Source organism: Homo sapiens, chromosome 5 (assembly GCF_000001405.40).
Source record: "Homo sapiens chromosome 5, GRCh38.p14 Primary Assembly".
Lineage (NCBI taxonomy): Eukaryota > Metazoa > Chordata > Mammalia > Primates > Hominidae > Homo > Homo sapiens.
This window is the reverse complement of record NC_000005.10, coordinates 81,989,785-82,016,367: the sequence shown is the minus strand read 5'-3', so window position 1 is coordinate 82,016,367 and position 26,583 is coordinate 81,989,785. Positions and strand designations below refer to the sequence as shown.

The 26,583-nt window shown below is 38.4% G+C and overlaps 1 protein-coding gene and 1 pseudogene across 12 annotated transcripts in view; one reads left to right on the top strand and one right to left on the bottom strand.

Annotated features, from left to right (window-relative positions):
- Positions 1 to 26,583, bottom strand: part of ATG10 (autophagy related 10) — a 284,111-nt gene that overhangs the window by 239,766 nt on the left and 17,762 nt on the right. The window lies entirely within an intron of this gene.
- On the top strand, positions 6,233 to 6,978 carry PPIAP11 (peptidylprolyl isomerase A pseudogene 11; annotated as a pseudogene).

The following is a 26,583-nucleotide window of genomic DNA, read 5'->3' as shown; positions in this document are numbered from 1 at the left end:
AGCAAACAAAATAAAGTGGGGAAAGGACACCCTATTCAACAAATGGTGCTGGGATAATCGGCAAGCCACATGTAAAAGAATCAAAGTGGATCCTCGCCTCTCTCTCACCTTATACAAAAATCAACTAAAGATGGATCAAAGACTTAAATTCAAGACCTGAAACCATAAAAAATTCCAGAACATTGGAAAAACCCTTCTAGACAATGCCTTAGACAAAGATTTAATGACCAAGAACCCAAAAGAAAATGCATCAAAAACAAAGATAAATAGACGAGACAATTTAAAAAGCTTATGCACAGCAAAAGAAATAATCAGCAGAGTAAACAGACAACCCACAGACTGGGAGAAAATCTTCACAATCTATCCAAAACCCCATCTGTACGTCACCATCATCAAAGACCAAAGGTAGATAAAACCATGAAGATGGGGAAAAAACAGCACAGAAAAACTGAAAATTCTGAAAATCAGAGTGCCTCTCCTCCAAAGGAACGCAGCTCCTCACCAGCAATGGAACAAAGCTAGACGGAGAATGACTTTGACAAGTTGAGAGAAGAAGTCTTCAGATGATCAAACTTCTCTGAGCTAAAGGAGGAAGTTCGAACCCATCACAAAGAAGCTAAAAACCTTGAAAACAGATTAGATGAATGGCTAACTGGAATAACCAATGTAGAGAAGTACTTAAATGGCCTAATGGAGCTGAAAACCATGGCATGAGAACTATATGATGAATGCACAAGCTTCAGTAGCTGATTCGATCAACTGGAAGAAAGGGTATCAGTGATGGAAGATCAAATGAATGAATTGAAGCGAGAAGAGAAGTTTAGAGAAAAAAGAATAAAAAGACACGAACAAAGCCTCCAAGAAATATGGGACTATGTGAAAAGACCAAATCTACGTCTGATAGGTGTACCTGAAAGTGACGGGGAGAATGGAACCAAGCTGGAAAACACTCTTCAGGATATTATCCAGGAGAACTTCCCCAACCTAGCAAGGCAGGCCAATATTCAAATTCAGGAAATACAGAGAATGCCACAAAGATACTCCTCGAGAAGAGCAACTCCACAACACATCATTGTCAGATTCACCAAAGTTGAAATGAAGGAAAAAATATTAAGGGCAGCCAGACAGAAAGGTCGGGTTACCCACAAAGGGAAGCCCATCAGACTAACAGTGGATCTCTCAGCAGAAACTCTACAAGCCAGGAGAGAGTGGAGGCCAATATTCAACATTCTTAAAGAAGAGAATTTCCAACCCAGAATCACATATCCAGCCAAACTAAGCTTCATAAGTGAAGGAGAAATAAATACTTTACAGACAAGCAAATGCTGAGAGATTTTGTCACCACCAGGCCTGCCCTAAAAGAGCTCCTGAAGGAAGCACTAAACATGGAAAGGAACAACCGGTACCAGCTGCTGCAAAAACTTGCCAAATTGTAAAGACCGTCAAGGCTAGGAAGAAACTGCATCAACTAACGAGCAAAATCACCAGCTAACATCATAATGACAGGATCAAATTCACACATAACAGTATTAACCTTAAATGTAAATGGGCTAAATGCTCCAATTAAAAGACACAGACTGGCAAATTGGATAGAGTCAAGGCCCATCAGTGTGCTGTATTCAGGAGACCCATCTCACGTGCAGAGACACACATAGGCTCAAAATAAAGGGATGGAGGAAGATCTACCAAGAAAATGGAAAACAAAAACAGGCAGGGATTGCAATCCTAGTCTCGGATAAAACAGACTTTAAACCAACAAAGATCAAAAGAGACAAAGAAGGACATTACATAATGGTAAAGGGATCAATTCAACAAGAAGAGCTATCTATCCTAAATATATAGGCACCCAATACAGGAGCACCCAGATTCATAAAGCAAGTCCTTAGAGACCTACAAAGAGACTTAGACTCCCACACAATAATAATGGGAGACTTTAACACTCCACTGTCAACATTAGACAGATCAACGAGACAGAAAGTTAACAAGGATACCCAGGAATTGAACTCAGCTCTGCACCAAGTGGACCTAATAGACATCTACAGAACTCTCCACCCCAAATCAACAGAATATACATTCTTCTCAGCACCACATCGCACTTATTCCAAAATTGACCACATAGTTGGAAGTAAAGCACTCCTCAGCAAATGTAAAAGAACACAAATTATAACAAACTGTCTCTCAGACCACAGTGCAATCAAACTAGAACTCAGGATTAAGAAACTCACTCAAAACTGCTCAACTACATGGAAACTGAACAACCTGCTCCTGAATGACTACTGGGTACATAACTAAATGAAGGCAGAAATAAAGATGTTCTTTGAAACCAACAAGAACAAAGACACAACATACCAGAATCTCTGGGACACATTTAAAGCAGTGTGTAGAGAGAAATTTATAGCACTAAATGCCCGCAAGAGAAAGCAGGATAGATCTAAAATTCACAATCTGTAAATATGACAAATGACTAATATCCAGAATCTACAAGGAACTCAAACAAATCAGCAAGAAAAAAAAACAATCCCATCAAAAAGTGGGCTAAGGACATGAATAGACAATTCTCAAAAGAAGATATACAAATGGCCAACAAACATATGAAAAAATGCTCTACATCACTAGTTATCAGGGAAATGTAAATCAAAACCACAATGCAATACCACCTCACTCCTGCAAAATGGCCATAATCAAAAAATCAAAAAAAAATAGATGTTGGTGTGGATGTGGTGAAAAGGGAACACTTTTACACTGTTGATGGGAATTTAAGATAGTACAACCACTATGGAAAACGTGTGGGGATTCCTTAAAGAACTAAAAGTAGATCTACCATTTGATGCAGCAACCTGGGTATCTACTCAGAGGAAAAGAAGTCATTCTATGAAAAAGATACTCGCACACACCCTCAAAGCAGCACAATTTGCAATTGCAAAAATATGAAACCAGCCCAAATACTACTCAGTCATAAAAAGGAACAAAATAATGGCATTTGCAGCAAGCTGGGTGGAATTGGAGACCATTATTATAAGTGAAGTAACTCAGAAATGCAAAACCAAACATCGTATGTTCTCACTCACAAGTGGGAGCTAAGGTATGAGGAGTCAAAGGCATAAGAATGATACAATGGGCCGGATGCGGTGGCTCACCCATGTACTCCCAGCACTTTGGGAGGCCAAGGCGGGCAGATCACACCCAAGACCAGCCTGGCCAATATGGTGAAAACCCGTCTTTACTAAAAAACACAAAAATTGGCCGGGCGTGGTGGTGTGTGCCTGTAGTCCCAACTACTCGGGAGGCTGAGGCAGGAGAATCACTGGAACCCGGGAGGTGCAGGTTGCAGTGAGCCAAGATTGTGCCACTGCACTCCAGCCTGGCAACAGGGCGAGACTCCATCTCAAAAAAAAAAAAAAAAGAATGAAAGAATGATACAATGGATCACCCCTGTAATCCTAACACTATGGGAAGCCACGGAAGGCGGATCGCTTGAGGTCAGGAGTTCAAGACCAGCTTGGCCATCATGGTGAAACCCTGTCTCTAATTAAAGAATACAAAAATTAACCAGGCATGGTGGCACATGACTGTAATTCTAGCTACTCGAGAGGCTGAGGTGGGAGAATCACTTTAACCTCGGAGGTGGAGGTTGCAATGAACCGAGACTGCACTACTGCATCCAGCCTGGATGACACAGTGAGACCCTGTCTCAAAAAAAAACAGTAAAAACAAAAACATAGTGCTTGCTGTCAAGGAGCTCTCAGACTACTATGGGGAATTAGCCAAGTATATAGATGACCACCATACAGAATTGTACACCAATTGTATGGAAACACAGAGGAGTGGATCTAAGCCAAACTTGGGAGGTCAGGGTTGCCTATGTGAAGTTAAGTGATGCATAGATTCAATCTAAAAAAATATGTAGTTATTATGGGCAAAAGACAGCCATAAAAATCACAAAAGAAAGTACCAAATAACTAATAAACATATGAAAAGATGCTCAAATGAGCTAGTTTTTAGAAAATGCAAATTAAAACCATGTGGCCTCGGGAGGCAGGACTACAAATCCCCTTCAAAAAACAACTTTGAAACTGAACAAAATTGTTAAAAACAACCATTTCAGGGAACTGGGAATCAACCAAAGGCAAATAACATATTAAGAAGCACTTATTCATGAAAAACTGTTGAAATTCAGGCAAGAACAGTGGGAGTCTGTGGCATTCCTCCCTGAGGTTGCTCCCATCCCTCCCAGAGGGTCAGTATGGTGGTTCTACCAGGACCACAGGCTGTGAAACCAGCAGCCTTACTGCCAGAGAGGCTCAACTGATCTGAAGCTGAAAATGAAAATATGCCATCCAGCAGCATCATCAGTAAAAGTAGCAATCTCTGTAGCAAGCCTGAGGTAGTAGTCATCCCAGTTGGCACAAGCAACCAACCAACCAGCACCATAATAGGAATAGTAATAGGGAGATTCTGGAAATGAAGGATTACAGAGAAGCTTGAGAAACTACACACAACCCTGGCAGCCTTCCACTCACATGTGTAGGGGAAGCTAAGGGGACCCAAGCTGTCCACACATCCTGGCTGATGAGGAGGCTTTGTGTAGACGCAGAGGACATGGTTGAAACTAAAAGACAGGGCAGACTTGAACACTGCCTAAACTTCGAATGTGCTCCCCAACCCACACAGAACCATCAGGAAGTGGAGAAGCCTACTGGCTCCAGGTGTTTGAGCATAACCTCTGACCAATCATCAGCAATTAAGCTATGCACAAATGTAACGTTGAGAGAACGAAGCCAGGCTCAAAAGAATAATCTTTTTTAAGCAAGAGTTTTGCGTGCTTAGCTAAGGAGACTGAACTATATCCTGAATAATGAAGAATCACTAAAGGATTTTAACCAGAGAGTAATGGAGTGGAATTGCATTTTATAAGATCACCTTGGCAGGCTTAGAGGCAGGTTGGCAGAGGGCAAGATTAGAGACAAAGAGCAGAAATAATGATAGCCTGAACAAAAAGAATGGTGATGGGCAAGGAGGGCAGAGGTAAGCCAACTTGAGAGATTTTTAAAGATGGAATAAATTGATGTAATGATCCATTCAGTATATGTATTGAGGCAGAGGAATGTAAAACCTTCAGGGTCATGGCCTGAGTCGGAGGTTGGTGGAGCCATCTAGAAAAAAAAAGAATTCAGAAGGAGCAGTGGATATTGAGGGCAAAAAATGATCAGCTCAGTTTTAATCATGTTGAGTTTGAGATTTATAGAACTTTAATCCATGAGACTGCTTACATAATTAAACTTTGTATAAAATTTATTACTTAGAAAACGATAAGTAGCATACAGAAATATGGGAACGCAGTGGTCCAAAGACCTGGGTTTCTATTTCAGTTTTAGCTCCAAGTTGGACAAGTCAATTGTTACCTTGGTGCTAAGTTTATTTATTTACTTAAACTATCTTTATGTAAAATAAAGAAAATAAGACTGTCCTATACACTCACAGGAACACTGTGTGCATAAAAAGAATGCTGTAAAACTAGAACACAAGCAATTGCTGCTATAGTGCACAACTTGTTCTGGAAGCTTTAATACAATATGACCAAAATGAAGCCATAAATATTGGAAAAGAAACCATATTTTCATTATATCAGATGACATGGAAAGCACCAAAGAATTACTTTTTATACTATTAGACCTAGTGTTAGTTCAGTAAGGTAACCAGTTACAAAATATACCTAGTAAAATCAATATCTTACCTGCATATCAGCAATAACCTTAGACCTTAAAATGGGGAAAACCCAGTCTCTCTAAATAAAGCTAAATCTATCGCTATTTTATCCTATCATGGATCGACTTAAAGAAATTAGTTAATTAATTAATTAAAGCCCCATTCAAACCGTGAATTTCAAACTTCACTGAAGACTTTAAAAAGTGAACACCTAGCATGTTCCTAAAAGGGAAGACAACATTATAGATACATAATTTCACTCCAAATTTATAAATTTAAAAGGACAGCCATCAAAATCCCAATTGGAAAACATAGCAACACTTATTTATCTAATTAAGAGTACAGGTACCAAAACGAAATTCCCCACATATGAGGGGAATTAGCCAAAATAATCACAATTGTATTAAGGAAGTGAAATAATTGGTTATTTTTCCCCTCCATTTTTACAGATATTCATAATCAGAATTTTGTCTGTACTTGGAAACATTCTCCAAGACCTTGAGGACAAGAAATATAAGAAAGCGGCTTTGCAGATGACGCCGCCGAGGAAAACTGTGTACTATTAGCCATGGTCAACCCCACCGTGTTCTTCGACATTGCCGTCGATGGCGAGCCCTTGGGCCGCGTCTCCTTTGAGCTGTTAGCTGACAAGGTCCCAAAGACAGCAGAAAATTTTCATGCTCTGAGCACTGGAGAGAAAGGATTTGGTTATAAGGGTTCCTGCTTTCACAGAATTATTCCAGGGTTTATGTGTCAGGGTGGTGACTTCACACGCCATAATGGCACTAGTGGCAAGTCCATCTATGGGGAGAAATTTGAAGATGAGAACTTCATCCTAAAGCATACAGGTCCTGGCATCTTGTCCATGGCAAATGCTGGACCCAACACAAATGGCTCCCAGTTTTTCATCTGCACTGCCAAGACTGAGTGGTTGGATGGCATGCATGTGATCTGTGGCAAAGTGAAAGAAGGCATGAATATTGTGGAGGTCATGGAGTGCTTTGGGTCCAGGAATGGCAAGACCAGCAAGAAGATCACCATTGCTGACTGTGGACAACTCGAATAAGTTTGACTTGTGTTTTATCTTAACCACCAGACCATTCCTTCTGTAGCTCAGGAGAGCACCCCTCCATCCCATTTGCTCGCAGTATCCTAGAATCTTTGTGCTCTCGCTGCAGTTCCCTTTGGGTTCCATGTTTTCCTTGTTCCCTCCCATGCCTAGCTGGATTGCAGAGTTAAGTTTATGATTATGAAATAAAAACTAAATAACAAAAAATATATATATATAAGAAAACTCTTTCTGAGTTAAAGATGAAATTAACTCATCATAGATCAGAGGATATAGGCAAATTACCTTAACGAGAAAAAAAATGGTTCCCTAGCCTGCAAGATTTAACTGGAACTCAATGGCAACCAAAAGAGCAATTAATCAGTAATTAATACTTTAAAAAATTAGATCAGTGAAACAAACATCAGCAGTGTCCACTACACTGTTCAGGAGAAAGAGTCTTTTAACCGTACACCCTTTAAACAATTTGGCCTCAATGGTAAGACTACCCATACTGTGGAGCAAGATGTACTAATGCCACGTTTAGATTATGCCATTAAATATTCCATTTATGCAACTATGAGAAAAAATTTGAACTCATTCTAGGTTCATACGATTATGGTTTTGTTCACCTACAAAACAAAAATGAGCTATCATGCTGAGATGGTGATTTCAGTTCATTTGACAATTCTACTTATTATAAATTAATACATTTGATTCTGATATACATCCAATCATATATAAATGTAATAAACAAATAAAATATATATGTCTAGTATATATAAGTCAGATTAGATATAGACATAATCTGTCCTTTGACACTGTTTAATGTGAGTCTGTTTTTGGGAGACAGCTCCATTCCATTCCATCTGAACCCAAAAAGCTGAGGGTCAGATCCTGGGCTTGATAAACTCACCAGTGTAAAGATAACTTCCTACAAGGCTTTTTGAAATACAGCTGAACTAAAACATCACTGTTAACCAGGCATGTGCTCTTATTTGTTAAACTTGCACAATTACTATCATTTTAAAATTTTTCATTTATAAATTTGTGAAGTATTATAGCTTTCCTTCTCAGATAGTTTTGATAATCTTTAAAAATAGTATTCAAAGGTATTTAATTCACAAGTGATACAACCTGTTCTTCTTGAAATTATTGCTTAAGATTTGCATATGCTTAAGTGACAAATCATAACACTCAATAAATTATGAATGGAAAAATCTAGTATAACTGACTAGGATTTAGTGTTTATTACAAAAACACAGCCTACTGCTCCAAGTGCATTTTTCTCCTAATCTCCTAAGGTAAAGAAAAAAAAATCTACTCTAGCTTCATCAAGAGATTATATGAATGCAATATATTTAATCTTTATCTAGTGACATCTGGAGCTAGAAATGATATTTCATTAACTCACAGCAGATGACTTAAACAAATACAGTATTACACTAAAACCACAGCAGTAACATGCTCATGACCCCCCTAAAAAGGATTAATAAGGAGATATGGAAAGATCTATAAGGTAAACTGGAAGAATAAATGTTAGTCAAAAAGTATTTCACAACAACAAATGTATTTATTTGTCACTCAAATAAAGCAATATTATTCTTAAAAAACCTGTGAGAAATATCTATTTCTTTTAGTGAACCTTAAAATTGTAACTAAATTTTAGGAAAGAATCTATATAAGCATATTGTCTTTATAAAGATTAAAATTTTAAGTGGATACTTAATATTTCACCTTTGAAGTAAAAATAAATAATTATTTCCAACAAATATATATATGTGTGTGCATATATATATATGACACAAAAGTAAATGGGTAGGCAAAGTAAAGTAATTGTATTTAAAAATATGAATTCCAGCCTGTCACAGTGGTTCATGGCTGTAATCGTTAACACTTTGGGAGGCCCAGGCAGGAGGATCACTTGAGCCCAGGAGTTTGATACCAGCATGGGCAATACAGTGAGACCTCATCTCTACAAAAAAATTACAAAATTAGCCAACTGTGGTGGTATACACCTATAGTCCCAGCTACACAGGCGGCTGAGGTGGGAAGATCACTTGAGCCCAGTAGGCGGAGACTGCAGTGAACCGAAATTGCACTGTTGCACTCCAGCCTGGGTGACAGAGCAAGGCCCTGTCTCAAATAAAATAAAATATGAATTCTATTACTTACTCTCTAATTTGATTATATTCTGATAGAAATATTCAGTTGGGTTTATATTAGCAAATGTGAGACATGGTGAAAACTACTCTTGTCAAATACACATGGAAAGCATTTTTAATACTGTTTAATAATGTATTTCAGAAATAAAAATGTAATCTCCTAATAGAACGAGGCTATGTAATTCAAGAAGTCATCATCTAATAGAAATTCACTCCAAATTCTCTCTTTAGCTGTTTCCTTCATAAAATTGTAAATCAAAATTTGTAGAAATAATGAATGAACCTTGAGGACATTATGCTAAATGAAATAAGCCAGTCATTAAAAGACAAATACTGTGGGAGGCTGAGGTGGGCAGATCACGAGGTCAAGAGATCAAGACCACCTTGGCCAACATGGTAAAACCCCATCTCTACTAAAAATACAAAAATTAGCTGGGCATGGTGGCACGCACCTGTAGCCCCAGCTACTCGGGAGGCTGAGGCAGGAGAATCACTTGAACCTAGGAGGCAGAGGTTGCAGTGAGCCGAGATCATGCCACCGCATTCCAGCCTGGTGACAGAGCGAGACTCTGTCTCAAAAAATAAAATAAAATAAATACAAATACTGTATGATTCTACTTACCTGAGATAACTAGAGTAATCAAATTCATAAAGATAGAAAGTAGAAGGGGAGTTGCCAGGGGCTGTGGGGATTCTGGAGTTTGGTTGCACAACAATATGAATGCACTTAACACTACCGTACTGTATACTTAAAGTGGTTAAGATGGTAAATTTACATTATGTGCATTTTACCACAATTTTTAAAACTATATAAAAATTTATAGAAACAATATTTCATGGCTTTAGAGTCTTTTCTTGAATTCATTCATTAATTTTAATATATAATTATAAACGTACAGAGCACACATGAACAGCCTATAATTTGAATACATATGGGGAAAATAAAGAAAGCTAAGTTAATTAGGTTGAAATATATTACATCACTTCATATATGCCACAGATGCTTTGAAACACCATCTCTGGCTGTGAGTCGATAATTGTGGAAGCTAGGTGATGGGTATGCGGGAATTCATTATACTATTCTCTTTACTTTTGTATGCTTGAAATGTTTCATAATAAGACATTTAAAAATAAAGATCTGCTGTGCAAATAAACAAAGTAAGAAATTCAGCAGGACAACAAAAATGATGGGAAGGTCCATGGTGGGCTTTGTACTCAGAGATGAAATACAGTAAAATATGGAGATTTTTAGAATCCATTTTAAAAATATGAATTTAATGTATTAGCATAATGGCAAAGGGTTTTAAGGAAAGTAATATGAAAGAGAAAAGCTACTGAAAAGAAGAAATCATAAAAATCAGTTTAAATTTATACTCAGAATAAAATGAAATTTAAAATTTTTACTATATATAAATTAGCAAACAAGCCCTTTCAATAAGCGGTTCCTAAACTGTAATGGAGATAAAATATTTCTGGTATGTTGCCACGTATACTTCAAATTATAATCAAGTATGTTTAGAAGAGACAAGGGATTAACAGAGAGAAGAGGCTCTTTAATTCTTCTGAAAGACTAACACACAAAATGATCTAGTATTAATTGTATAAAATATAATCTCAAGAAAGTAGGATATTTTGTTTTCAATCTGAACGTTCTCTCTTCCTGTTTCTGCTATACAAAAGTGAGAGAAGGAAGCTGAAAATCTATAGGAAATTATTTTATCAATCACTTATGAAAGGTGGAATCACAGAACTGAAAACTGAGATCCTAAACTGAAACACAAAAATCAAACAAAACAAAATTTCTAGAAAGCAAGGTAGAGTTTCAATGTTGCACAAATCCCAAAAAGAATAATTATAAATGTGCGGTGGCTCACGCCTGTAATCCCAGCACTTTGGGAGGCACAGGCAGGCGGATCACCCGAGGTCAGGAGTTCAAGACTAGCCTGGCCAACATGGTGAAACCCCGTCTCTATTAAAAATATAAAAACTAGCTGGGCGTGGTGGTGGATGCCTGTAATCCCAGCTACTCGGGAGGCTGAGGCAGGAGAATTGCCTGAACCTAGGAGACAGAGGTTGCAGTGAGCCGACACAGTGCCACTGCACTCCAGCCTCGGCGAAAGAGTGAGACTCTATCTCAAAAAACAAAACAAAAGAAAACAAGAATAATTATAAATTAAGTTTAGAAAACATGAGTAAATTGTTGTGAGACAAAAGGAAGCATATATGTAACATACAAAAAAAGTAAAGAGAATAGTACCAAAATCAAACCCATAAACACATCATCCATATTCAACACATTTGAAGATTTTGCCACATTTGCTTCATCTATCCCTATTTATTTGGTTGTTTTTGTTTTATTTAGCTATACTCCTTGGTATCATTTTATACATGAGTCCATAATCAAATATCACTAATCAACTCAAAAAAAGTCCTTTTACAGTTGATTTGTTTGAGTCAGGGTCCAGATAAGTTCAAATATTACATTAGGGTATATCTCTTGAATTTCTTTTAATCTAGGGTAGTGCTACTCAAGTGTGATTTTTCAATTGGTGCCATTTTGAGAATTAATTGTTACCAGTCCAAAAACTGTTTACTGGTCCTCAACTCTTTGTTACGGGTCAACAAGATAAATACAGAAAAGGAAAGTGAGCACTTAGAAACGTTCATAGCAAGTTGACACTGTCAAGACATCCAAGTGCATGATGAGTGGACTCATCTCACTGAACCAGCTGGCAGTCGTCAGACTCACCGTGAGTCACACGTGACCTGAACTGCATACTCGTCATGCACCCTAGGACCACTTACTGGTTGCTGCCTGGATAGGATATTAAAAAACAAACAAACAACAAAAACAAAAAACCCAGTGTTTAATCCTAGAAATTTGAGACACAGTCCTTCTCCTCACTTCTTTATCCTAACATTGACTTTTTGAAGAAATAGGGTCAGGTGTCCTTTAGATTCATGGATTGTTGTGTTTGCTTCCCATAGTGTCAATTACCTTGGTTCTCCATCTCCTGATTTCCTATAACTGATTCTATTCAGATTCAACTTCGGGGACGCAAATACTTCATACAGGGTACTCTGTGATTCATGTTATAAAACTTCAGAAAGTGTATCATATCTGGTTCCCCCATTTTTAGTAATGCAAAGACTGATCACTAGGCTCAGGTAGTAATAGCTCAATCTCTCCTTTGTAAATTCCCCCTCAACCTTTCATCTAACTGTTTCATCCACCAATTATTGTTGCCTAATTCATTTCATTAGGGGCTTAAAGTGATAATTTTTTAATTTTACCATACTTTTTTTTTTTTGAGACGGAGTCTTGTTCTGGGCGACAGAGCAGGCTGGAATGCAGTAGCACAATCTCGGCTCACTGCAACCTCCACCTCCCGGCTTCAAGTGATTCTCCTGTCTCAGTAGCTGGGATTACAGGTGCCCCCACTACAATGACCAGCTACTTTTTGTATTTTGAGTAGAGATGGGATTTCACCATATTGGTCAGGCTAGTCTCAAACTCCTGACCTCAAGTGATCCGCCTGCCTTGGCCTCCCAAAGTGCTGCGATTACAGGCATGAGCCACCATTCCCAGCCTCTACTATCCTTTTATATTTATTAGATAAAATTGTGGGAGAAGGACTTTCCCTCATCAAATCAGGCTATTTGGTTACCATGAAATAGGTCATGTAAGAAAAAGGTAATACTTATTTCTTTCCATTTGATTACCAATGTTCATACCAAGGAGTTGATGTCCTATAAACTTCCAATGATGTTCAATGGGTTGGATTGGAAGGCTATTCTGCTCTTTTTCTCTCTAACATTATGAATACATGGTTTTTTAAGATACATGTGTTTCAAACAATTACATCCATTGTTATTTATGGTACTCAAATTGTCTTATCTTTGACCAATGGAAGCCTCTTAATGTTAATTCTTAGGTCCTTTTAACAAGACCACACTAGCTAACTTGTCTTTGATTTCTTTGCATTCTGGTTAGTCAATAAGAAAACCCAGGCTCAGTTTGTACACTTCTTCCCTCAGACCTGGAGTTTGTACACTTCTTCCCTCAGACCTGGAGTCAGCCATTCCTGCAAGAAATTCTGCCTCCTTTTTGTGGGAAATGGTATTTATAGATCACAATCTGGGCACTTCAGTAGACAAAGCTAGAAAATATGTAGTTTGCATTCCTACTGATATTTCCAGTGCAGATTAATATTACGGTACTTTAATTTCTTTGATTTTCTACTAATCACTTTTATCTTACATTGTAAATCTTGGCTCCTGATGACCTTAACATAAATACATAAGTACTTATTTGCATTTTTGTAAAATAGGTATAAAACAATCACAAAAGCATAAGATATTGAGAGTACTATTAACAACCAGGTTATTTTTTAAAGCTTACAATTTCTTTATAGCACTATTTATCCTTCAATTAAATCCCATTAAGGATAGTCAAAATACTGTGTTCTTAGGTCACGTGAAATAATTTTTTTCTCGTTTTTTTGAACTTTTATTTTAGGTTCGGGGTACAAGAGCAGGTTTGTTGTATAGGTAAACTGCATGTCACAGGGGTCTGGTGTACACATTATTTTGCCACCAAAGTGATAAGCATAGTATCCGATAGGTAGTTTTACTTTTTTAAAAATACTTTTACTTTAGGTTCAGGGGTACCTGTGTAGGTTTTTTTATATAAGTAAATAGCATGTCACAGGGGTTTGGTACACAGATTATTTCATCACCCAGGTTATAAGCACAGTACCCAATGAGTGGTTTCCGGATCCTCACCCTCCTCTCTCCCTCCACCTTCACATAGAACCCAGTGTCTGTTGTTGCCCTCTTTGTGTCCATATGTACTCAATGTTTAGCCCCTACTTATAAGTGAGAACATGTAGTATTTGGTTTTCTGTTCCTGTGTTACTTCACTTAGGATAATGCCCTCTAGTTCCATCCATGTTGCTGCAAAAGACATGATCTTTTTCTTTTTTTATGGCTACATAAGTATTCCATAGTGTATGTGTATCATGCTTTCTTTATCCAGTCTACTGTTGATGGGCATTTAGGATTCTATGTCTCTGTTATTGTGAAAAGTGCTGCCATGAACATATGCATTCATGTGTTTATGGCAGAATGATTTATATTCCTTTGGAATATATTTGGAATCCTGATATTGGGATTGCTGCGTCAAATGGTAATTCTGCTTTGAGTTCTTTGGAAAATTGCCAAACTGCTTTCCACAATGGCTGAACTAATTTACATTCCCACCAGCAGTGTATAAGTATTCCCTTTTCTCTTCAACCTCACCAGCATCTGTTATTTTTTGACTTTTTAATAATAGCCATTCTGACTGGTGGGAGATGGTATCTCATTGTGGTTTTGATTTACATTTCTCTAATGATTAGTGATGTTGAGTGTTTCCTCATATGCTTCTTGGCGATGTGCATGTCTTCTTCTTTTGAGAAGTGTCTGTTCATGTCCTTTGCCTACTTTTTAATGGGATTGGGTTTTTTGCTTGTTAATTTGTTTAAATTCCTTATAGACTCCGGATATTAGACCTTTGTCAGATGCATAGTTTGCAAACATTTTCTCCCATTCTGTAGATTGTCTGTTTACTCTGTTGATAGTTTCTTTTGCTGTACAGAAACTCTTGTTTAATTAGTTCCCATTTGTCAATTTTTGTTTTTGTTGCAATTGCTTTTGGCATCTTCATCATAAAATCTTTGCCCAGTTCTACGTCCAAAATAATATTTCCTAGGCTATCATCCAGAGTTTTTATAGTTTTTGCTTTTAAGTCTTTAATCGATCTTGAGTCGATTTTTTATATGGTGTAAGGGGTCCTGTTTCAATTCTCTGCATATGGCAGGCCAGTTATCCCACATCATTTATTGAATAGGGAGTCCTTTCCCTATTGCTTGTTTTTGTCAACTTTCTTGAAGATCAGATGGTTGTATATGTGTGGCCTTGTTTCTGGGTTCTCCATTCTGTTTCATTGGTCTTTGTGTCTGCTTTTGTACCAGTACCATGCTATTTTGGTTACTGTAGCCTCATAGTATAGTTTGAAGTTGGGTAATGGGATGCCTCCAGCTTTGTTCTTTTTGCTTAGTATTGCCTTAGCTATTTGGGCTCTTTTTGGTTCCATATGAATTTTAAAACTGTTTTTTCTAATTCTCTGAAGAATGTCATTGTAGATTGATAGGAAGATAGTAGACTGACAGGAATAGTATTGAATCTGTACATTGCTTTGGGCAGTATGGCCATTTTAACAATGTTATTTCTTCCTATCCATGAGCATGGAATATTTTTCCATTTGTTTGTGTAATTTCTGATTTATTTGAACAGTGTTTTCTAATTCTCATGGTAGAGCTCATTTACCTCCCTAGTTAGCTGTATTCCTAGGTATTTTACTCTTTTTTGTGGCTCCTGTGAATGGGACTGCATTCTTGATTTGGCTCTCAGCTTGGATATTGTTGGTGCATAGAAATGCTACTGATTTTTGGCCGGGTGCAGTGGCTCACACCTGTAATTCCAGCATTTTGGGAGGCCAAGGCGAGCAGATCACCTGTGGTCACGAGTTCAAGACCAGGGTAGCCAACATGGTGAAACCCCATCTCTACTGAAAATACAAAAATTAGCTGGGCATGATGGCAGGTGCCTGTAATCCCAGCTATGCAGGAGGCTGAGGCAGGAGAATCACTTGAACCTGGGAGGACGGGGTTGCAGTGAGCCGAGATTGTGCCACTGCACTCCAGCCTGGGCGACAGAGACTCCATCTCAAAAACAAACAAAAAAAAGAAATGCTACTGATTTTTGTACATTGATTTTGTATCCTGAAACTTTGGTGAAGTTGTTTATTAGATCTAGGAGCTTTTGGGCAGAGACCATAGGGTTTTCTTGGTATAGAATCATATTATCTACAAACAGCAATAGTTCAACTTCCTCTCTTCCTATCTGGATGCTCTTTCTTTCTTTTTCTTACCTGATTGCTCTGGCCAGGACTTCCAGTACTATGTTCAATAGGAGTGATGAGAGAGGGCATCCTTCCCTTGTTCTGGTTTTTAAGGGGAAGCTTTCAGCTTGTGCCTATTTAGTATGATGTTGGCTGTGGGTTTGTCGTAGATGGCTCTCATTATTTTGAAGTATGTTCCTTCAGTGCCTAGTTTGTTGAGGGTTTTTAATATGAAGAAATGTTGAATTGTATCAAAAGGTCTTCTGCATCTATTGAGATAATCATGTGGTTTTGGGTTTTTTTAGTTTGTTTGTGTGTCAAATCACATTTATTGATTTGCATATGCTGAACCAACCTTGCATCCTAGGGATAAAACCTACCTAATCATGGCAGATTAGCTTTTTGATGTGCTGCTGGATGTGGTTTGCCAGTATTTTGTTGAGGATTTTTACATCAATGTTCATCAAGGATATTGGCCTGGAAGTTTTATTTTTTTGTTGTTCTCTTCTCCTCAAGTTTTTGGAATAATTTCAAGAGGAATAGTACCAGTTCTTCTTTACACATCTAGAATTCAGCTGTGAATCCATCTGGTCCTGGGCTTTTACTGGTTGGTAAACTTTTTATTACTGATTCAATTTCAGAACTCATTATTGATCTGTTCAATTTCTTCCTGGTTCAGTCTTGGGAAGTCGTATGTTTCCAGGAATTTATCCATTTCTTGCAGGGTTTCTAGCTTGTGTGCAGAGGTGTTTGTAGTAGTGTCTGCGGGATTTTTTTTTTGTATTTCTGTGTGGTCAATGGTAATGTCCCCTTTGTCATTTCTGACTCTGTTTATTTGGATCTTCTCTCTTTTTTCTTTATTAGTCTAGCTAGCAGTCTACCTATCTTATTAATTCCTTCAAAAAACCAATTCTTAGATTTGCTGATCTTTTGTATGGCTTTTTTTGCATCTCAATTTCCTTCAGTTCAGCTCTGATTTTGGTTATTTCTATCTTCTGCTAGCTTTGGGGTTGGTCTTCTCTTGTTTCTCTAGTTCCTCTAGTTGGGATGTTAGGTTGTTTATTTGAGATCTTTCTAACTTTTTGATGTGGGCATTTAGGGCTGTAAACTTCCCTCTTATCACTGCTTTAGCTGTGTCCCAGATATTCTGGTATGTTATATCTTTGTTCTCAATAGTTTCAAAGAATGTCTTGATTTCTGCCTTAATTTCATTATTTACCCAGTCATTCAGGAGCAGGTTAATTTCCATTAATTGTATGTTTTTTAGTGATATTCTTGGCATTGATTTCTATTTTTATTATGCTGTAGTCTAAGAGTGTGGTTGGTATGATTTTGTGGGTTTCTGCTTTTTTTTTTTTTTTTGGCTGAGGATTTTTTTATGTCTGAGTGTGTGGTGAATTTCAGAGTATATGCCATATGCAGAAGAATGTATAGTCTGTTGTTTCTGGGTACAGCATTCTGTAGATGTCTTTTGGTCTGCTTTGTCAAGTGTTGAGTTCAGGTCCCAAATATTTGGTAGTTTTCTGCCTCAACAATCTAATACTGTCAATGGGGTGTTAAAGTCTCCTGCTATTATTGTGTGGTTATCTAAGTCTCTTTGTAGGTCTTTAAGAACTTGCTTTATGAATCTGGGTGCTCCTGTGTGGGTACTTACATATTTTGGATATTTAGGTCCTCTTGTTGAACTGTGCCCTTTACCATTATGTAATATCCTTCTTTGTCATTTTTTATCTTTGTTGGTTTAAAGTCAGTTTTGTCTGAAATTAGAATAGCAACCCCTGCTTTTTTCTGTTTTCCATTTTCTCGGTAGATTTTTCTTCATCCCTTTACTTTGAGCCTATGGATGTCACTGCATGTGAGATGGGTCTCTTGAAGACAGCACACAGTTGGGTCTTGCTTCTTTACCCAACTTGCCACTCTGTGCCTTTTAATTGGGGCATTTAGCCTGTCTACATTCATGGTTCATATTGATATATGTGGATTTGATCAATGTTATCATGTTGTTAGCTGGTTATTATGCAGACTTGTTTGTGTGGTTGCTTTATAGTGTCACTGGTCTATGTACTTAAGTGTGTTTTTATAGTGGCCAGTAACAGTCTTTCCTTTCCATATTTAGCCCTTCCTCAGCACCTCTTGTAATGCAGGTTTGGTGGTAATGAATTCCCTTAGCATTTGCTTGTCTGGAAAGGATCTTATTTCTCCTTCACTTATGAAACTTAGTTTGGCTGAATAAGAAATTCTTGATTATAAATTCTTTTCTTCAAAAATGCTGAATATAGGCCCTCAAACTCCTCTGGCTTGTAGGGTTTCTGCTGAAAGGTCTGCTGTTAACCTGATGGGGTTCCCTTTTTAGGTGATCTGCCCCTTCTCTCTAGCTGCCTTTAAAATATTGTCTTTCATTTCAACCTTGGGGAATCTGATTACTATGTGTTGGGGATGGTGTTCTTGTGTAGTATTTTGCAGGGGTTCTCTGCATTTCCTGAAATACAGTGTTGGTCTCTCCAGCAAGGTTGGAGAAATTTGCATGGACGATATCCTGAAATACGTTTTCCAAGTTGTTTGCTTTCTCTCCCTCTCTTTCAGGGATACCAATGAGTCACAGGGGTGATCTCTTTACATAACTCTATATTTTTCAAAGGTTTTGTACATTCTTCTTTATTTTTGTTTTGTTTTGTTTATCTAATTGAGTTATTTTGAAGAACCAGTCTTCAAGCTCTTAGATTCTTTCCTCAGCTTGGTCGATTCTGCTGTTAATACTTACAATTGTATTCTGAAATCCTTGAGGTGAGTTCTTTAGCTCTATCAGATCAGTTTGGTTCTTTCTTAAAAATGGCCATTTCTTCTATCACCTCCTGTATTATTTTATTGTGTTTCTAAGAATCCTTAAATTGGGTTTCAATTTCCTTCTGAATCTCAATGATCGTCATTCCTATCCGTATTCTGAATTATATTTCTGTCATTTAAGCCTAGTTAAGAACCATTGCTGGGGAACTAGTGCAGTTGTTTGGAGGTAAGAAGACAACTCTGGCTTTTTGAGTTGCCATAGTTCTTACACTAGTTCTTTCTCACCTGTGTGGCCTGATGTTCCTTCAATCTGGAAGATTTTAGGGGGCCAAGGCTCACCTCAGCCCTCCTGAGCTGTGTGCTCTAATTCTGAGGGGTTGGGTATTGGGCCCTCAGCTTTGTTCTCTGGCCCCACAAGGTTATGAACCTGCTGCACTGGAGGAGCCAAGGTGTTCCCAGACCACTGGCCACAACACTCCAATGGGTGATGCCAACCAAAGTCCTTCGTTGGGCGGTGGCAGTGGGATCTGTGTTCATTTGCACGTACTAGTAGCAACAGCAGTGTGGCAGGGTGCATACTTGTTAGATGTGGCTGGGGACTGGAGGGTGCAGGGCTGATGGCCTCCATGTGAATGTTCACAATGGTGGCACAGGGTGAGGGGGTAGGGTCACTGGCATCCATGTGTGTGTGTGCACCAGCACTGGTGTCAGAGGGATGCTGGCAGACACGAGACTGGCAGCCTTCATGTGCACATTCACTTCTTATTACTTTTTATAGGTTAAGATATATTGAATGCTTCCTGTATATCAGGTACTCTGCTAAGTACTTTCATATTTGTTTTCTCATTATCCTTATAATCATGTACATGGTAACTGTTATTATTCACATTTGCTAGATGTAAAAACTAAGGATGTGAAAGAAAAAATAACTTGCATGAGGATACAAGTCATATCTAGGATTTAACCCAGTTCTAAACAGTTCCAAAGGCCAAGGTCTTAACCACTATGATATTCCGTCTACAAATTTTACTTTCAGTTGCAAACTTAACCTACCTTCAGCATATGATTGCCATTTGCTATTGATGCATAGTCCTTTTGATGTGCTTCTTTGAAAAGCAACCACTAGAGGCCATGGGCCCTGGAGTCTAGAGCATGGCCTGGCAATTAATGACAACTAGGCATAGCCAGGCACAGTAGCTCACACCTGTAATCCCAGCACTTTGGGAAGCCAAGGTGGGAGGATCGCTTGAGGCCAGGAGTTCGAGACCAGCCTGGGCAACATAGTGTGACCCCATCTCTACAAAAAAAATTTAAAAATAGCCAGGTGTGGTGGTACATACCTGTAGTCCCAACTACTCGGGGAGGCTGAGACAGGAAGATCCCTTCAGCCCAGGAAGTCAAGGCTGCAGTGAGCCATGATCACTCCACTGCACTGCACTCCAGCACCTAAGCACTGACCTTAGCACCATTAACAATTTAGTAACTGCACCATCATATCACAAACAAAGAAACTGAGAACTAAACTGGTAAAGTGGGTCTTGTGAAGACTTTAAAAACATAAGTAGATGTAAACATTTTAAAGGTAAATTAGTGGAAGAAGAATAAAAGTTAAGCAAAAATTAAGTAGTGAAGTAAATTAAACTAAATTGATTTAGTAAAATAAATTTAAAGTGAATAATTAAATTTAAGTAAAAATCAAATATTTAGCAATCGCAGCAGAATCGCAACTAGTTATCTAGATCTGCATCAAAATCTCCATTTATGAAAACAACTTCTGTAATTACACCTCTCTGGGTCTATATAATTTCTCCACAACACAAATTATCTCCAGAAATAAAATCCATGCAAGCAATTCTCAAGTTTTATACACTGGACTTTTAAATAACCTACACATTTATGAATTGTTACATTAAGATACTTAAATTGCTATCTTTGCCAATTTAGGACATTTCTTCATCAGCTGATGACAGGACATTCTGAGCTTCTACAGGGTGGCATTGCCTGCCAGCAGATCATTTTCACCTCAGCCACCATTTTTGTCTGTACTTTAGTGTTTATATAATTATGTGAATACTTTAGCACATTTTCCCCCTTTTTTTAATGAGTAGAAAACAGGAAATGAAAGTGATGACACTTAAGAAGTATAGGGCTCAAAGGGAATACAAAGTGAGAAATCATAAGGTAGCACAAAACAGGCAAATCTTTTGCCTCGATTGATATATTAGACTTAAAGTTCTCTACTGTTTTCAGTTGTGTAGGTAAAGAACATTAAAAACTCAGGCTGGGCATGGTGGCTCACGCCTGTAATCCCAACACTTTGGGAGGCTGAGATGGGCGGATCGCTTGAGGTCAGGAGTTCGAGACCAGCCTGGCCAACATGGCGACACCCCCTCTCTACCAAAAAAAATAATAATAATGCAAAAGTTAGCCAGGCATGGTGGTGCATGCCTGTAGTCCCAGCTACCGGGGAGGCTGAGGCATGAGAATCACTTGAACCTGGGAGCCGGAGGTTGCAGTGAGTCGAGATCGTGCCACTGTACTCCAGCCTAGGTGACAGAGTGAGACTCTGTCTCAAAACACACACACACACACACATACACACACATGAAATTTCTGAAAAATATCCTCAAAGGTTGCATCTCAAAAACAAGGTGAAATTCGAGATTATACAATGTTTTTCAGCTCTCTAGAACAGAAAGCAGATCTAGGAATCCATGAAGGCACAAAAGCAGGAGAACCACCTGGGATTCTTTCTGTCCAAAGAATGTTAGGGACTCATTTATGCAATGTCAGTCTTGATGAACTAAAACAACTCTAACACCTTGGCTTCTAGATGTATTTTTATGATTCACCATGACAAACATGCACTGACCATGTGATTATAGTGTGACTCTAGGAGAACATTAATAATTCACATATTTGCTCCTGACATTTTTCCTAATATAAAAAGAACCACCTCTGCAAACTAAGAAGGCTAGAGTAAGACAGAATCTTAAAAACTGCAGTGACTATAAAGATATCAAGGGTAAAACTGATTACCCAAAATTAAGTAAAAAAGAGGCTTTAATTAAAGCTTATTAGCTTAATATGCTTACTTCTAAACAACTTATATAAGCAGAGAGTAAGGAACTCAGAATTGCATTTGGATCCACAATCTCTGCACTTGGAGCCCTCCCTTCTGCTCCCCTACCCTCCACTTTTTCACCACAGTCCTCTCTAAACCCTGCTTTGGGATCTGGTTTCTTTCTTCAGTCCAATTTTTCCTTCTTTCTACCTTTCAGAAATTCATCAAGCTTTATAATCCCTTGATGATACATTTTTTTGTTTTCTAGTGCTGATAAAAGTTTACTTACTTATTCTTCAAAATAGCTTTTCCTTCATTTTTAGGACTCTGGAGACAGCGTGAAAGGAAATGAATTAGAGTAGACAATGAAGCTAGAAAGGTAGCAGGAAGCCACAATGCGGGGCCTGGAATACTCTGTGATGGAGTTTCTATATTATTCTGTGACAAGAGAGAGCCCAAACTGAAACAAAGAAAAAAAATCATATAGAAAATGGGACTTCTACAAAGATACTTCTTAAAGGATTAACCATGACAGAAATGTGTTGAATGAATTGGAGAAGAGTTGTCAGGCCATTGAAATGGTTCAGGTGAGAAGCTATATGGTCCTGAATTAGTGTAGAGGCAGCCGATATGAAACACTGAGATTATGGGCTGCCAAAGAAAAGATGGTAAACATTTTGGCAAGGCTCCTCTTGAAAAAGGAAGAGAGAATTCTCCTTCTTTGGCTCCCCCTTATAATCCTAGAGAAACTCAGACAATATACTATCAACCAGTACAGTGTATTTGGTGCTAAATACACTTTTACAGAGTTTTCTGAAAACCAAACTACAACTTCATTTATAGCATTATTTCTATAATAAAAGACACTGAAATTTTCAAACAACTAACTAAAAATTCTGACACAGCTTTCTATGTGTCAGAAACCAGGCTAAGGCTGGGCACGGTGGCTCACGTCTGTAATCCCAGTACTTTGGGAAGCCAAGGCAGGCGGATCACGAGGTCAGGAGTTTGAGACCAGCCTGACCAACATCGTGAAACCCCATCTCTACTAAAAATACAAAAATTAGCCAGGACTGGTGGTGCGCACCTGTAAACCCAGCTACTCAGAGGCTGAGGTAGGAGAATCACTGGAACCCGGGAGGCACAGGTTGCAGTGAGCCAAGATCACACCATTGCACTCCAGCCTGGGCAACAGGGCGAGACTCTGCCTCAAAAAAAGAAAGAAAGAAGGAAAGAAAAGAAAAGAAAAGAAAAGAAAAGAAAAAAAAAGAAAAGAAAAGAAAAGAAAAGAAAAGAAGGAAAGAAAGAAAGAAAGAAAGAAGGAAGGAAGGAAAGAAAGAAAGAAAGGAAAGAAAGGAAAGAAAGAAGGAAAGAAATCAGGCTAAACTCTTTGAATGCAAAATAACATTTAATCTATACAACAACCATATAAAGTAAGTATTATTGTTATTCCTACTTTACAGATAAAGAAAATAGAGTTTGGAGACATTAAGTAGTATGTCCAAAATCCAGTTAGTAAATGGTAAAGAAGGTATTTGAACCTGGATCTGTCTGACTGTGAAGACCATGCTCTTAACCACTATCTTTAATATCTGACAGACCATCATGGTAAACAATGGGTGTAACAAGTGTACCACCTTCCTGAGGATTTTGGAAAGGTTAGAGGTAGGGGAACAAGAATTATCCTGCCTAGATGTCAAGAGCATTCCACCCTCACTGAAAAATATTGATTTAAAGTATTCTTATTCTGTATAGCTCCAGATATAAAAATTAAAAATATTAAAAATATTTTGCCTACTTTAAGCTTTTTAATAATTTATGTTTCATTAATTCGCACTGCTTTTCTCATCAACTTTGCCTGAAAAGTAATGTTTTACACCTTTCTATAAAGTTAAATTATAGCAGTTCTCTAAATATTGTCAGGATTCTGTTCAAATTCAAAAAAAATAAAATGGGCCAGGCTCGGTGGCTCACACCTGTAATCCCGGCACTTTGGGAGGCCAAGGCGGGTAGATCACTTAAGGTCAGGTGTTCAAGACCAGCCTGGCCAACATGGTGAAACTCTGTCTCTACTAAAAATAAAACAGAATTAGCTGGGCCTGGTGGCGCATGCCTGTAACCCCAACTACTCAGGAGGCTGAGGCAGGAGAATTGCTTGAACCTGGGAGGCAGAGGTTGTGGCGAGCCAGGAACGCACCACTGCACTCCAGCGTGGGTGACAGAGACTTCGTCTCAAAAAAAAAAAATTTAATTTAATTTTAAAAATAAATAAATAAAATAAAAATAAAATGGATGGTGCCAAAGTGATTGTATGAGTGACCATAAAACCTGAAGGTATGAGGGACAATATACACTCTAAAGGAGCCTTGGTCAGGCATGGTGGCTCACACCTGTAATCCCAACACTTTCAGAGGCCAAGGTAGGAGGACAGCTTGAGCCCAGGAGTTCAAGACCAGCCTGGGCAACATAGTGAGACCCCCATCTCTACAAAAATTAAAAAATTAGCTGGGTGTGGCAGCATGTGTCTGTGGCCCAGCTACTTAGAGAGCTGAGGTGAAAGGATCACTTAAGCCCAGGAGATCAAGGCTGCAGTGAGCCATGATCATGCCATTGCACCCCAGTCTGGACAACAGAGCGAGACCCTGTCTCGATTTAAAAAAAAAATTAGCCAGGCATGGTGATGCACATTTGTGGTCCCAGCTACTCAGGAGGCTGAGGTGGGAGGATTACCTGAGCTGTAGTGGTTGAGGCTACAGTGACCTATGATCACACCAACCTGGGTGGCAGAGACCCTGTCTCTAAAAACATGAAATAAAATAAAGGAGCCCTATACATAGGTATAGATAAGTTTTTTTTTTTTTTGAGACGGAGTTTCACTCTTGTTGGCCAGGCTGGAGTGCAATAGTATGATCTTGGCTCACTGCAACCTCCGTCTCCCAGGTTCAAGCGACTCTCCTGCCCTAGCCTCCCAAGTAGCTGGGATTTTAGGCATGCACCACCACACTCGGCTAATTTTTTGTATTTTTAGTAGAGAAAGGGTTTCACCATGTTGGCCAGGCTGATCTCGAACTCCTGACCTCAGGTAATCAACCTGCCTTGGCCTCCCAAAGTAAACAAGACTTTTTTTAAGAATAAGTTTCAGGAGCAAAAAGGGGCAGAGGGAGGCATTGGAAAGCAGGAGTATGAGGAAACTTTATTGGGTGATGAATATGTTCACTCTTGATTTTAGTAAAGGTTCACAGGTCTATAGATACGTCAAAACTTAATAAATTACACACTTTAAATATATGTAGTTTATTGTATGCCAATTATACATCAATACAACAATTTAAAAAAAAATAAATTTCTGAGGCCTGAAAAGCAAAACAATAGTATAAGAATACTGTCTCCAAACAGTACCAGAAAAAGATTTGAGATGCTACATAATACAATGAAAGGTTTAAGGATATAACCAAGCGACTGATTCACAATTCCCTTTAGAAAAATGGCACAGGATTGCAGAAATTAGGTGGCAAAAATACTAATATGCCCAAATTGAGAACACAGGAATCTGCTTTGCCTAGAGCCCCTTTCACTAATTCAGTTCAATAGCATGTGCTGAGGCAGGGCTGGAAGAGAAACCACAGTCATACCAGACAGACACCCAATCCCAGAGGTCATAAAATGACCATCCCATTGGGCATCACTGACATGTTTCGTTTGGTCCTCACTGTTGGAAAAATAATCTTTTTTAATTAGTTGCCAACATCTAAAAATCCAGAGATCTCTCCACCCAAATCTGAATGCTTAACCTTTCTCAAAATATCAAAAGATCTGGTAACACTTGGACTCCTGTTTCCAGCCTAGCAATAGGCCATGCACTCTGGTCAGCCACAGATTTCCAGACTCAGTCTTCCTATTGATCTGTCCCTGGAAGCCTGACCCATTTATTGTAATGTTTCAATACCATCTCAGTGCTCATCATTGCAGTGGGTGTAACTCCCACTCCAAAGGGTAAGGAACTTTCCTACCTAAGCAACCAGTGGCAGCCAACAGAAGGCTAGACTTACACATCCCTTTTTAGAGAAAGGTCAATAATAGAAACAAATCCTGAAAACTGGTTCTGGGGCATTAGTTTACAACTTCAGTGGAGAAGCTTCTGACAGACAGAATTTCCCTACTAAAGATCCTTCTCAGCACCAGCCTCCTCACCCTTCAAACACAAATGCATACACAGTCCCAGCTCCTTCCCTAGCCTTCCCCTCCCACATTCTGCCAGGTAATGGAATGGTTAACAGGAATTTTTATCATCTTGCCTCCAGCTTAAGATAAAGAAAAATTTCTTAAAGAAAAAAAACTGGTGAAAAGGCAAAGTCCCCAAGGAATAATCACACAAATTATTACAGGTCAAAAGGGGTCAGAAACCTATACTCATTCAATGAATAAACAACCAATATTTTATTTAATCATTTTATAACAAAAGCATTAATATTAAATCAGGTTCAAGGCAAGATTTATCATCATCACCTAACATTTTTCTAGTCAATGCATAAAATAATAGAGAGAACTATCACAAAGAAGTCAATTTAAAAAACAATAAAAAATAAACCTCTTAGTTTGCAGATGACCTCATTCCTAGAAGACCCAAGAGAAACCACTGAAAAGCCATGAAAACAAATACGGAAATTCAATAAGGTGACTGAATGGTTACAAAATTAATATACAAAATTACAGTTGTTTCAACTCAGCAATAATCATAGAAAAAATAAGATGAATAAAAATTGAAACAGGCTTGGCACAGTGGCTCACGCTTGTGATCCCAGCACTTTGGGAGGCCGAGGCAGGCAGATCACAAGGTCAGGAGATCGAGACCATGGTGAAATCCTGTCTCTAC